This window comes from Homo sapiens, chromosome 13 (assembly GCF_000001405.40).
Source record: "Homo sapiens chromosome 13, GRCh38.p14 Primary Assembly".
Classification (NCBI taxonomy): Eukaryota; Metazoa; Chordata; class Mammalia; order Primates; family Hominidae; genus Homo; species Homo sapiens.
In genome coordinates this window covers 79361175-79376585 of record NC_000013.11, presented here as the reverse complement: position 1 = coordinate 79376585, position 15411 = coordinate 79361175, and the positions used below count along the sequence as shown (strand labels likewise).

At 34.7% G+C, this 15411-nt stretch overlaps 1 protein-coding gene across 50 annotated transcripts in view; it reads left to right on the top strand.

The window, feature by feature from the left end:
• The window catches only part of RBM26 (RNA binding motif protein 26), a 94429-nt gene that overhangs the window by 29670 nt on the left and 49348 nt on the right, over positions 1-15411 (top strand). For 14 of the 50 annotated variants that reach the window (XM_047430528.1, XM_047430514.1, XM_047430529.1 and 11 more), the window contains exons 4-9: positions 4656-4744; positions 5424-5641; positions 7596-7856; positions 9714-9953; positions 10361-10531; positions 10868-11008. In XM_047430528.1, the coding sequence (XP_047286484.1) occupies positions 4656-4744; positions 5424-5641; positions 7596-7856; positions 9714-9953; positions 10361-10531; positions 10868-11008 (1120 nt within the window). Of the gene's footprint in view, positions 1-4655; positions 4745-5423; positions 5642-7595; positions 7857-9713; positions 9954-10360; positions 10532-10852; positions 11009-15411 lie in introns of all 50 variants that reach the window. The other 36 variants (XM_047430526.1, XM_047430525.1, XM_047430510.1 and 33 more) reach the window with 3 other exon arrangements.

The window sequence follows — 15411 nt, the reverse complement described above, 5'->3', positions numbered from 1 at the left end:
TACAACCTTCTCTCTTCACCCTTAGTTACTAGTCATATAATAATTTATATCTTTTCAATTTGATGTTAAAAGATTATAATTTGGCCAGGGTGAGCGTGGTGGCTCATGCCTGTAATCCCAGCACTCTGGGAGGCTGAGGCAGGAGGCTCACTTGAGCCCAGGAGTTTGAGACCAGTCTGGGTTATATAGTGAGACCTCATCTCTTATGAAAAAAATTTTAAAATTAGCCAGGTGTGATGGGGTGGTGCATGCTTGTAGTCCCAACTACTTGAGGGGCTGAGGTGGGAGAACTGCTTGAGCCCCAGAGCCTGAGGGTGCAGATCAAAGCATTACACTGCAGCCTAGGCAACTGAGCAAGACCCTGTCTGGAAAAAAAAAACAAACAAACTATAATTTTAGTGAAAATAATTGTTGGCAGTCAAGCCATTATGTTTCTGCATTTAGCCCTAGCTTTAGGTCACACATATCTTGGTTAAAATTTTGGTTCTACAAATCACTGGTTTGTGACCTTGAAAACATTACTTTTCTGAGCCTCATTTTACTCAGCTGCGAAATGGAAATATTAAAGGTTCTTGTGAGGAATAAGTAAAATAATGTATATAAAGCACCAATCAAGTGCTTTATATACATTATTTTACTTTTCACATGTGGCACATGGTAGGTTCTCAGTAAATGGTAGCTGCTGTCATTTTTGAGATTGTAAGAGATGTTGATGTTGTGACCTTTTTTTCTCCTTTTATGCTTTTTCCAGATTACATATAAATAATACATTTTATTATGCAATAAAATATATATTATAATATGTAATCTCAAATATATTTATATCTCTATCTGAATATATTTACACACATGTATATTTGTATATTTTCATATACACATACCCACATGTAACATCCCAATCAGTTTTATCTGCCTGGGAAGACCAGAAATGTAATTTATAACTGAACCTATTTCATACCTAACAGTATAAGGGTTCTGTTAGGAAGAAAGGGACGGTGTATATTGTGTTGGCAATTGCTTATGCAACATAGAGATATGCAATGGTTTATTCAAGTTTTGCCTACTGGTGGAACTTTGGTTTGGTTTCAGATTTTTGCTGTGAAAAATTATACTTTGGCTGGGCACTGTGGCTCTCGCCTGTAATTCCAGCACTTTGGGAGGCTGAGGCGGGTGGATCACCTTAGGTCAGGAGTTCAAGACCAGCTTGGCCAATATGGTGAAACCCTGTCGCTACTAAAAACAAAAATTAGCCAGGCATGGTGGCAGGTGCCTGTAATCCCAGTTACTCGAGAAGCTGAGACAGGAGAATCGCTTGAACCTGGGAGGCAGAGGTTGTAGTGAGCTGAGACCATGCCATTGCACTCCAGCCTGTGTGACAAGAGCTAAACTCCGTCTCAAAAAAAAAATATATATATATAATATATATAAATATGAATAATATATATTATTTATTTTTAAAATATAAATATATATTTATATGATATATATAAATATATATTTATATATATCATATAAATATATAAAAATATAAATATATAGTATATAAAAAATGTATAAAATATATATAATATATATATTATATGTATGCTTTAATTCTCAGAAAATCTTGAGTAAATCACAGTCCCTTGGCTTGAGTAGTCTTCCCCTAAATCGAGTTAGTAGCAAAGCCTTAGTCTTATTATCTATTGATGTAATAATACTTCCTGTTTTTTCAACCAATTGTGGGAGATACTTATCCCTGATCTTTCAGAATTGTTGAAATGCCAGATGGCAATCTACGTTTAAAATGCTGTGGCTATACTAAAAGTTTGCAGATGGGCATGTACTGTGGAATATGGTGATCTGTTAGATAACTCGCAAAAGTGCATTGAGGAAATAGAAGGGAAAGAGTGCATCAGAAGGGTCGTATTAGTACCCGGTTTTTTGTCTGGTCTGGGAGGAGAGCTGGAATAGGTGGAAAGAGTACGAAAGTACTTGAATTTAAAAAGGCAAACTGTTGAAAGAATGCTTTAAAGATTATTTCTCCTAGTTTGGTCTGTTAATAGGATTTCCATTTGATTTCTCATCTAAAGTGGCACACTTTTTTTTGTTTGTTTTTTGAGACGGAGTCTTAGTCTATTGCCCAGGCTGGAGTGTCGTGGCCCCATAGTGGCTCACTGCAACCTCTGCCTCCTGGGTTCAAGCAATTCTCCTCTCTCAGCCTCCCAAGTATCCCTCCTGTAATCCCCTTTTGGGATTACAGGCGCGTGCCACCATGCCCAGCTAATTTTTGTATTTTTAGTAGAGATGATATTTCAGCGTGTTGGCCAGGCTGGTCTTAAACTGCTGACCTCAAGTGATCCACCCACCTCTGCCTTTAAAAGTGCTGGGATTATAGGTGTGAGCCACTGTGCCCAGCATAAAGTGGTACATTCTGACAGTCAGAAGCCCTTATCAAAAGGATGCTGGAACAGCTGGCATAAACTGGGACATGTGTACCCTGTGCGTAGACTACCTGCATGAGAATATCTTATGGTTCTCAGTAACACAAAATCTTGAGCCCTATCTTATTTATAGAAGCCACTTGCACGATATTTCCTGAATTTGTTCAACCTCTAAGTCCCTTTTTCTAATTACCTAGAAAAACAGTGATTCCTGTCGTTCCTGTTGTTGAGGACCATTATTCTCAACAATATAGTCTGGAGAAAGTAGCACTGAGAATATTTTCCAAGGTTGCTTTCTAGTAGCTATATAATGTGAATGGAGGCACCTTGTAGGAAACAGAAATATATAGCTGTCATGCTGCTGTGAGAAACTGGAGAACTATTTCACCTTATATATTGTTTTCCCAGATATATATATATAAAATATTATATATTATTATATATAGTAATATATATATATAAAATATTATATATTATTATATATAGTAATATATAATATATAAATATATAAATAGACTATATAAATATATATAGTAATATATAATATATAAATATACTATATAAATATATATAGTAATATATAAATATATTATATAAATATATATAGTAATATATAAATATATTATATAAATATATATAGTAATATATATAAATAAGTATATTTATACATATTATATATATTTGTATATTTATACATATTATATATATTTATATATAATATATAATATATATTTATATTTTATTTATATATAGTATATAATATATATTATATATATTTATATATAATATATATTATATATTTATATATTTTATTTATATATAATATATATTTTATATTTATATATATTTATTTATATTTTTATATATTTATATATAAATATATAAATACATTAGAACTCACCAAGTCATAAATACATACACACATAAACATATACATATTTATATATATTTATATATTTTTATATATTTTATATATTTATATAAAAATTTATATAAATATATAATACATAAAATATATAATATATAAGATATATCTTATATATTATATAAAATATGTAATATATAAGATATATCTTATATATTATATAAAATATGTAATATATAAGATATATCTTATATATTATATAAAATATGTAATATATAAGATATATCTTATATATTATATAAAATATGTAATATATAAGATATATCTTATATATTATATAAAATATGTAATATATAAGATATATCTTATATATTATATAAAATATGTAATATATAAGATATATTTTATATAGCATATAAAATATTATAAATATATTTATATTTATATAATATATAATATATTTATATAAAATATTTATTATAAATATATATCATATAATTATAATATATATCATATAATTATATATAATATAAAATATATAATAAATTACAATATGATACATAAATATATATAATATGTAAATATATATTTATATATATAAACATGTATATGTTTGTGTGTGTGTATGTATTTATGACTTGGTGAGTTCTAATGTATTCTCCTATATTCCTTGATGTGTTTGGTACCACACCAAGTCCACGAAACCAAAACATGAATATATGTTAGACTTTTGAAAGAGGAATAAAATTGGATTTCCATTAATTATGTTAAATGAGCATACTTGCTTAAAATGTTTTCTCACCAATGTAATCATTTCATTATAGTTAAATGATTATACTTAGTAGAGAAATTTACTTTGTTTGGATAATTTTAGAAGATGACAATTTTGCTTCTACGTTATATAAACTAATTTTAATGTTAATTAAATTTTATTTAATGTTAATTAAATGTTAATGTTAATAAAGTCATTAAAGCAGTAATGTGTCTAAGGCTTTTTTTTGTTTGTTTGTTTGTTTTGAGGCAGAGCCTCACTCTGTCGCCCAGGCTGGAGTGTGCACTGGCGCGATCTCAGCTCACTGCAACCTCTGCCTGCCAGGTTCAAGCGATTCTCTTTCCTCAGCCTCCAGAGTAGCTGGGATTACAGGCCCCTGCCACTGTGCCCAGCTAATCTTTGTATTTTTAGTAGAGACAGGGTTTCACCATGTTGGCCAGGCTGGTGTCGAACTTCCGACTTCGTGAACCACCCGCCTCAGCCTCCCAAAGTGCTGGCATTACAGGCATGAACCACTGTGCCCAGCCCTATCTAAGGCTATTTAACAGTGGAATAATTACTAAACTTGTACACTTTTTTTTTTTTTTTTAATCAGATCACTAAGGAGGAAGAGCGAGAGAAGAAGTTTTCTAGAAGGCTAAATCACAGTCCTCCCCAGTCAAGCTCCCGATACAGGGAAAATAGGTGAGCAGTTCATTGAACCATACTCAGTGTTTCGATGTAAGTTATCTTTTATACAAATGTTTAGACTTGGGTTATCTTTTACGCAGAGGCAAGTAATATCTACTCTTTTATTGGTCTAGGAAAATATAACTAGGTCCGTTTCTACCATGAAAATCTAGGTCAGATTTGTAGATCTTGGGAGTGAGTTTAGAACAGTGCTTGACATATATTAGCTGCTTATCTTTTTATTCCTAACTTCAGATTCCAGTAGAATCTTAATGTGTGGGTGTTTTTTTTTTGCCTGCTGTTTCCATTTAGTGTGATTAAATTGTTTTTCTCATTCAGGCTTCAAAAGCACTTAGAATACAATGCATGTGATACATGTCTGTAAGTGAGATTATATGTACGGGATAGTATGTTCTATATGTACTCTAAGTCTTATATACAGATGCCTTTATCTACAGATGCCTAATTGTATAGTTGCCAATGTGTAATAAGACTAAGGGTTAAGGCTTTAAAAAGATTGTTTTTCATTTAAAAGGGATTTAAAGTACTGAATATTAAGCTCAGTTTTTTCAGTTGTCTGATGGTAGGATAGAAAGTTAAGTTACAAGAATTAAATGTAACTTTTGCATTTAATTAGCTTTTTCCTGTGTCACTTAAAAATTATTTGTATTAAAGTGATCACATATTTCTTTAGAAGCCGTGATGAGAGGAAAAAAGATGATCGTTCTCGCAAAAGAGATTATGATCGAAACCCTCCTCGAAGAGATTCATACAGAGACCGGTACAATAGAAGACGAGGGCGGAGTCGCAGTTATAGCAGGAGTCGAAGTCGAAGTTGGAGTAAAGAGAGGCTTCGTGAGAGGGACAGAGATAGAAGCAGGACTAGAAGCAGAAGCAGAACACGAAGCAGGGGTAAATAATATATTTTGGTTATCTTTTTATGAAAAACTCCATGTTTAAATGTTTTTAAAAATTGCTTAACATTTTGTCAGTGTTGTCTTCATTTTTTTCTATTATGATGTATTCTGTGGTCCAAGAGAATGCTTTTTAAAAATTCCTTTAAAAGTTTTATTCCTTGCAAATTAAAATCACAGTTACCACTACACATTCAACAGGATAGCCACGATGATACAGACTGATTCTATTCCATGTTGGTGAGAAAGTAGATAAGCTGAAACTCTTTGGAAAACATTTTGGCAGTATGTAAAAATATTAAAACTACACTTAGCATATGGGTCCGCTATTCTACTTCTTACTGTTTACCTGGAAGAAATGAAAGTGTATGTCCACACAGGTGTTTGTTCACAAAGGTTCATAGCAGACTTATTTGTAAGAGCCAGATCTAGAAACAGCCTAAATGTCCATCAAGAGGTGAATGTATAAACATGTTGTGGTATATCCATACCATAACATGGATAAAAAGAAAAGAACTATTGATACATGCAACAAAATGGATGAATCTCAGTATAATTATGCTGAGTGAAAGAAGCAGGACAATACATATGTATGTTAAAAAATTTTTTTTCTTAATCTTTGTTTTTGTGACAGAGTATTGCTCTGTCGCCCAGGCTGGAGTGCAGTGGTGCTGTTTCAGCTCATTGCAACCTCCGCCTCCTGAGTTCAAGCGATGATCATGCCTCAGCCTCCCAAGTAGCTGGGATTACAGGCAAGTGCCACCATGCTCGGCTAATTTTTGTATTTTTGGTAGAGTCACGTTGGGGGTTTCACCAGGTTGGCCAGACTGGTCTCGAATTCCTGACCTCAGGTGATCCACCCGCCTCAGCCTCCCAAAGTGCTGGGATTATAGGCCTGAGCCACTGTGCCCAGACTAGTTTTTAAAAATGCAAACTAATCTGTGATGACAGAGAGCAAAGCCAGTCGTTGCCTGAAATGGAGTAAAGGAGGGATGATAGATTACAGATTACAAAGGGGCATGAGGATTCTTTTGGAAGTGATGAATATGTACATCATTTATTTGTGGTATTGGTTTCAGAGGTGTTATATCTTGATTAAAACTTATACAGTTTAAATATGTTCAGTTTATTATATATCAGTTATACTTCAAAACTATTTTTAAAAGTTTAAAAAGTTTTATTTCAGATATATATTTTTGCAAGAGCGTGTCATTCCCAACATGTATAATTTTCTTCTAGTACATGTTATTGAAAGTAAGATGTTGTCGTAAAACACCTAAAACACTTTTCAGTAAAGCACCTTTTCTCAAACTTTTTTTGCTACTCTTAATACTATTTATGGCCTTTGTATAAGCCCTGTATTCTGTTACTCTTTTCTTAGAAATTTTCCCCTGCTGTGATCTAGGTATACAAGGCTTCATGGAATGTTACTTCACTTAACTAATCTCTTTAATTTCTTTTCTGTTTCCTGAGGACCATATGTATAGTCTAGTTAATTTCTTTGTGCATGTTTAATATGAACTCTTTCTGGGTCATCCGTTCTTATCTTAATATAACAGCCATTGTAGTAACTTTAAATGGATGACTACAAAATGTTCATCACAGGAAAAATAACCATACTTTATTGCATGTTTTGTTTTGTGGTCTGTAATTATGCATACCAAGATTGTGATGAAGAAAATATAAAATTCCTTTTTTCTATAAACAAAACTCTAAGGAAAAACATTAAATATGGCAGCATTACCTGGTTTTGTAGTTTGGGTTATATTAAAAAGAAATCGCTTACCTTTTAACATTGTATATTAATTGAATATTTTTTAAAAGAAAATGATTATTATGCAAAATTTAAAATTTTTTTTCTATGTTTATAAAAATATCACTATTTCTTAGATCTGGGACTTTTTTTTTTTTAATACAGTGTAGTTTTATATGTCATTTATCTTTCGTTGCAGAAAGGGATCTGGTAAAACCTAAATATGACCTGGATAGAACAGATCCATTAGAAAATAATTATACTCCAGTCTCTTCGGTACCTAGTATTTCATCTGGCCACTACCCTGTACCTACTTTGAGCAGCACTATTACAGTAATTGCTCCTACTCATCATGGAAACAACACTACCGAAAGTTGGTCTGAATTTCATGAAGACCAAGTGGACCATAACTCTTACGTAAGACCACCCATGCCAAAGAAACGGTGTAGAGACTATGATGGTAAGTCTTTCAGCTGTTTGATAAAGTATTTAATTAATATTTCCAGCTGCCTAAATTCTGTGTTTATGTTGTACATAGTTATTCAAAGACTTACCTCTGAAAAGTGGGAAATTAGCCTTAGTCACTTTTTGAATTCCTCAATATGATTGAAACATTTATTAGTTGCCACTAATTTGATTATCAATTTAAAGGTAGTATTTATTTGCAAGTAAGTCTTAATAAATTGTGGGAGTTTACCAAATGAGTAAATATCTACTGAGTTTTTATCAGGGAATCTGCTACTGAAACATTATTGACAAAACTCATTTCTTTAGAATGAGTGATTATTGGACTGTAAATAGAAATGTATCTAGAAATGTAAATGTCACCTTTGTAAGAATTTTATTAAAGAATTAAAGACTTTTGGCTGGGCGCAGCGGCTCACGCCTGTAATCCCAGCACTTTAGGAGGTTGAGGTGGGTGGATCATGAGGTCAGGAGATCTAGACCATCCTGGCTAACATGGTATGCAACCCCGTCTCTACTAAAAATACAACAAATTAGCTGGGCGTGGTGGCTGGCGCCTGTAGTCCCAGCTACTCGGGAGGCTGAGGCAGGAGAAGGCGTGAAACCGGGAGGTGGAGCTTGCAGTAAGCCAAGATCGCACCACTGCACTCTAGCCCGGGTGACAGAGCGAGACTCCGTCTCAAAAAAAATAAAAATAAAAAAATAAAAAGAATTGAAGACTTTTAAGGATTTACCGTAAAAGATTTATAAGTAGTATTAAAGCCATCATTGCAATTTTTTTTAGTTTTAAGAGATTTAAATGAAGGACATTTCTAAAGACAAAAATATGACAAAAATTATATTTAAGTCTCATCTCGTTAGGTTATTTTCATTTGTGTGTTTTTTTTGTTTTTTTAGTATGTATACGTTAGTTTAACATTGCTCTAAAGTAATGCCTGAGCCTGGGAAATTTATAAAGAAAAGAGGTGTCTTTGGCTCATGGTTCTGCAGACTGTACAAAAAGTGTAGTGCCAGCATCTGCATCTGGTGAAGGCCTCAGGAAGTTTACAATCATGGTAGAAGGCGAAGGGAGAGCAACTAAAAGGGAGCAAGAGTGGGGTTGGTGGTGGGGGAGGTGCCATGCTCTTTTAAACAACCAGCTCCTGTGAACTAATAGAGGGCGAACTCACTTGTTACCTTGGGAGGGCACCAAGCTATTCATGAAGGATCTACCCCCATGACCCTAACACCTCCTACCAGGCCCCACCTCCAACATCGTTTGTCACATTTCTCTCTTTTGCCTCTTCTTCTTCTTTTTTTTTTTTTTTTTTTTTTTTTTGAGATGGAGTCTCCCCCTATACCCCAGGCTGGAGTGCAATGACACAGTCTCTGCTCAGTGCAACCACTGCCTCCCGGGTTCTAGCGATTCTCCTGCCTCAGCCTCCCTAATAGCTGGGCTTATGGGCGCCAGCCACCACGTCCAGCTAATCTTTGTATTTTTAGTAGAGATGGGGTTTCACCATGTTCGTCAGGCTGGTCTCGAACTCCTGACCTCGGGTGATCCACCTGCCTCAGCCTCCCAAAGTGCTGGGATTACAGGCCTGAGCCACCACGTCCAGCCAGATTGTCACATTTCAACATGAGATTTGGAGAGGATAAACATCCTAACTATATCAGTATGTTAAATATACTATCACTTTACAAGTATTTATATTACTGGAGAAGATCAGGTAGCTCTTGGGAAATGGTTAATTATACTTTTGTCCAATATTAAAAATATTCATATTTTTAAATATTTTACTTTTGCTAACTTAGAGAAAATATATATTTCCAGTGCTTTTGACATTTGTTTCTAACTATTCCTTCCTCATAGAAAAGGGTTTTTGTATGAGAGGAGACATGTGTCCTTTTGATCATGGAAGTGATCCAGTAGTTGTAGAAGATGTGAATCTTCCTGGTATGCTGCCTTTCCCAGCACAGCCTCCTGTTGTTGAAGGACCACCTCCTCCTGGACTCCCCCCACCTCCACCAATTCTTACACCCCCACCTGTGAATCTCAGGCCCCCAGTACCACCGCCAGGTCCATTGCCACCCAGTCTCCCACCTGTTACAGGTAAGTAAATCTGTTTGTTTCCCTGTATTTATCTAGCCATTCTTAGTCTATTTTTAAAACTTAATAGATTCTTAAATTAAAAGTATCTAAAGGAATCCCAAAAATGCCTGATAGAAATTAATAGCAGTATACTTCCATTTGGAATACACCTCCACTTTGTAGCCTGTGCCAAGCCAGTTACTATGGTTTGGAGTGACCCTGTGAATTAAGTATATCACTGGTAAAACCCAGCTGCCTGCAGGCCTTCATAGCTTAAGGCAAACCTGCTTTGGAATGTATTAAAAGGATATTTTACCCTGGATATCTAATTCAGTTGTAAGGGCTTGGTGTTTGTAGATATTATAGTTTGATAAATGAGAAGATTATGTTCGGATGTGCAATAACTTGTTTTATTTGTTTGCTTTCAGATGATATTTCTTATTCTTTGGTTTTGACAGGACCACCACCTCCACTTCCTCCTTTGCAGCCATCTGGCATGGATGCTCCTCCAAACTCTGCAACCAGTTCTGTTCCTACTGTAGTAACAACTGGCATTCATCACCAGCCTCCTCCTGCTCCACCCTCTCTTTTTACTGCAGGTGCAGTTTTGGCCCTTTTTATATTCGTAATGTAACACAGTTTTAGATGAAGAATTTTAAAATGTCTAGAGAGAATTGCTCTGTGAGGACTACTTTTCTCACTAAAATTATGTAGCCGTGGTGAATGAACATTAAATAAGCCCTCAGTTTTGAATGTTTTCAAAAAAACATTTTCTTTTTAATAACTTTTTTAAATAAAGTTATTTTCTTTTTGATACATATAGAGCATGTTATATGTTAATATGTTATATTGTTTACTTTTTCTCTTATCAATATTAAAAAATTACCAAGTGGAGTTTTATAATTGTTTTTTAATTACAGTTTTTGTATTACCAGATACATATGACACAGATGGCTACAATCCTGAAGCCCCAAGCATAACAAACACTTCCAGACCTATGTATAGACACAGAGTGCATGCACAAAGGCCCAACTTGATAGGACTAACATCAGGGGATATGGATTTGCCACCCAGAGGTACTATAATTAATCTTTCCTTCCTGTCATTTTCATAATATAAACAGTGGGAAAACATTTATAAAGAACAGTTGGTCTTGCCTTTATTGGGGTTGGATAAGGAATGGTGATTTATTTTATTTCATTTTATTTTTGGAGACAGAGTCTCACTCTGTGGCCTAGGCTGGAGTGCAGTAGCGTGATCTCAGCTCACTCTAACCTTTGCCTCCCCTTTAAGTGATTTTCCTGCCTCAGCCTCCTGAGTAACTGGGATCACAAGTGCCTGCCACCATGCCCAGCTAGTTTTTGTATTTTTAGTAGAGATGGGATTTCACCGTATTGGCCAGGCTGGTCTTGAACTTCTCTGACCTCAAGTGATCCGCCCGCCTTGGCTTCCCAAAGTGCTGGGATTATAGGCTTGAGCCCCCGTGACTGGCTGGGATGGCGATTTTGTTTGTTCCCTGTATCCTTCGTTCCCCCGTTGGAGAAAATATACTGTGTAATTCTGTATTTGTGGTAGAGGTGACACTTTATTATACAATTATTACACTGTCCAAGAAGGAAAGGAATTTCCTTAAAGAAGCACATTTTCTTGGGTAGCCTTTTTTTTTTTAGTAATTTGTATCATTTGTAATCTTGAGAGTAACGCTTTAATTCCTAAAGATAAGTTTATTCCTAGTTTGAAAAATCAAATAGTGCTTGGTATTTATTTTTGCTGACTCTTCACCTGTTAAAATTTGATATTAGTTTGCGTATATTTTTAAGCAAAGGATATCATGTGTTAAGAAATGACTCTTAAAATTTTCTTAGAGGAGACAGACTTTTGGATAAAATTTCTAAAAGGTACAATTTGGGTTGACATAGTCACAAGCTAGGGCAGCAAAGTGCCCTACATCTAGAGTGCCCTACATCTAGAGTGCTACACTAGAGATGTAAATGTAAACTAATAAGATTCAGAGGGAGAAAGTTCACATTAATTTGGAAAATACAGTATTTGCTACAGATCACATTTGATATAGGGAAATGAAGGATTGTCAGACATAATGGAAAATATTTCCTGGGCTAACAAAAAATATATCTTTTTCCCTAACCACCTCAATTAAGTTTTAAATCCCATTTTCTTTCCAGTCTTTTCTTGTCTTACCTAGTCAGAATTAAAAAATCATGCTTCGTCAGTTGTGAATAAAAGTCTTAGTTAGTAAGTAACAGTGCCTAATGGAGTTTGGTAAATGTGTGATTACTTACATATACTTTGTGTTTTTTCTTTTATTCATTGGAAGCTAGCTATCAGATTCTGAGCATCTTCCTTGAATGTTTAAAGGACTTTTTGTAATGAAGGTGTAAGGAATGTTTTAATTCAGATTTATATCCTCTTTTAGATCATAGGACAACATTTAATGTGGATACCCATTCCTCTTAAATTCTCTTTGAGGAATTTCAATAGCTATTATTAACAACAATAGAAAAAAGATTTTTTTTAACAGCTTGTATGTGAGGGATATATGGATTCCTTGTAATTGAAAAGTGGCCACTTAAGATTTTAACTGTTGTGTGATGTTTACCTATATCCTGAACCTGTCTCCCACCTGGCTAGTTCACAGAAACCCTCTTTTCTTCTTTGGATAACTATTTAGCATGTAGTTTGTTTTCCTCATACCAATATTCCTTGCTTTTACTGGGAACCTTGTAGTGGGAATTTCCACTTCAATTAACATTTTACTGGGGATTCCCACTAAAGTCATTTCTTTCTACCTTGCTGCTTTGGAGCTGTAAATACATGCTACTACAGGTCAATATTTATTAGATCCATTCACATGCTAGGGCAATTTCTGGTTGTGATCAAGAGAAGCAAGGGGATCAAACCCCTTGCATTTAAATCTTACCATGTACAAGTTGGATGTGTGGTAATTTCAGCTCTTAATGCATATTGTTACAGAAAGTGATCCTGTTGAGAGAGAAATGTCTGTCATACCTACTTAGAAATTTGAATGCTTTTTCTCATAGAATCATTATTGTACATAGTGATTATTTTAGTACTCTTCTTTAGATACATCATGTACCATTTTTGTTAGCTAGTTTAGGATTGATTTTTCCATTAATAACAGTGATTTTATGTACCAAACAACTGATTTAGCAACCCATCCAAATTGAGGATTGCCTTTAGTCCTTCTGTTTTCTTATCTCTTTTTAGTCCTCTCCCTCCTCCCACCATGTGTTCTCATCTATTCCCAGTTTGGATTTTAAATTTACTGTCCTGGATTGTGACAGATACATAAAAAGCTTATTTATTGTTAATTATATAATTATTACACGTTCCTAATAGCCTATAGATGGCCTTAATTTAAATTTGTCATAGACTTATTATTATGTGATAGTTAAACTTTTATGCTTACTGCTTTAAATTTTGAGGGCAATTATTCAGCAAAAGGAAAGAAATTTGGGCCCTTTGATGCATTGAAATTACTAATGTAAAAGTTACCTAGAGGCCCTGACAGTTATTTTTTGCAGAGTTCTAAGGAGGTGGAAAACTTGATGGATGATGTCATGATTGGATATAGGGAGGAGGAAGGGTTAAGTAGTTTTCCATTTCTAGTCAACAAAACCAGTGCTGACAATTTTAGGCAGAAAAACAATTCATTAAAATGATTATTGGGGAAAAATACATTACATAAAACTATTTAATATTAGATCATTTGCTGAGTATATACCAAGAGGAACTTGCTTCTGTGTTTTTAATACCCTTCTTTTAAATATATATCAATGAAAGGGATTCCGAATTAGAGAATACAGATGAGATGGAGCAAACCCATTTCAATTACTGGAGGCAAAACACATTATTCCCTCTCTTAGTGAACCTTCAGGTACGGAACATATTAAAGTAAAAAACAAAAGATGTTGGATAGGTCACAGATTCTCCAAAAGGGCTGGTGAACCAGACTTGGGAGACAGGAATAAGACCAAAAATCCTTTTGCAGAACCGGTCCTTGGAAGGTACCACTGGACAGAGAAACATCGCACGTGCTAGATACAGGATGTTTCCTAGAGATGTAGGATAAGTCAGAGTTAGACAGAGGAAGAGAATAGATACAGCCTATGTACCCTGTGATACTTTTGAGAAACTGAAGGAATTTTGTGACTGTAAGAGAAGAAGTAAGTAATGTAGAGGGAGGTAAGAGGCTAATTAAAAGCATTTACAGAATTTTAGAATAGAGGTGATAGTAGCTGGGCTAGGGTAATAATAGAAATGAAAAAAATAAGTTTAGTGGAAAGAATTGACAAAACTTGTAACTTATTTAATTTGGAGGCTTAGAATAGGGGTAATAAGTGGATGAAATTAGACACCCGTTTCCTGCCCTGGATAATTGGGCAGATGATAATATCATTCATTGAGAAGGACAGCTTTGACAGAAAGATAAATTTAGTTTTGAAAGTGTTTAACTTCTTGTCCCCCTGGGGCATTTGAGTAGAAATGTCCAGTGGGAAATAGGATATGGAAGTCTGAGGCCCATGAGAGACAGTTGACTAGAATATACAGATTTTGGAATCATGCATATGTAGAACTTTGGTCCTTAATCTTTTCTTCTGTCCCATTAGTACCAGTGGGAGGTAAAGGGAGATAGAAGGAGCCATACCAAAATCTGTAGGTCTGACTTAACATAATTTTAAAAACCTTTCTCGTGCGTTTCTAAAATCTTCCTCTCCCCATCCCCACTGAGAATCACTGAAAAAGATGAATGAAGCCATGGCAGTAGATAAGAAAGTTATTTTAGGAAGGCTATGTAAAGTGAGATGAGAAAACCCAAGTATAACTACTTGACAAATGTCAGCATCAAAGTAAATGGACAGAGAAAGGAGAACTTTATAGAAAACTTAGAAATGAAGCCCAAAAGCTGCAGACAAAAGCAAGGAGTGGGGATTCCTAAAAACCCAGGGAATATAATACCTAAGATGGAAAAGAAGATGATCAACAGCCGCAAATTCTCCTGAGAGGTCCAGTAAGAGGACTGGGATGTATTCATAGGCTTAAGCAACAGGTGAGGACATGAGTGATTTTAGCACGAGCAAGTAAAGTGAAGTAATGGGAGCAACTGCCAGTTTTCAGAGGATTAGTGAGTGGGTGTTAAGGAAGCAAAGTTAGTAAGTGTGGACATTGATTAGGAAAGGGCTGTGGGAGTATGGAGAGAGATGTTGTTGCTAAAGGGAAAACTGGTTTTACGAGAGTTTCTTTTTTTTAAAATGGAGTAATTAGAGCTGTAATGTTTGAATGTTGATGGGAGGTATCAGTGTCCTGGGAAAGGTTGAAAATGGAGGAAAGCAGCAGGAGTCTAGAGCGTTGATTTGAGTCTCTGTATGTATGGCATATGTGGGTAGTCATATATCAAATATGACTTGACTGGGATGATTGGGAAAATGGTAGTTTCATT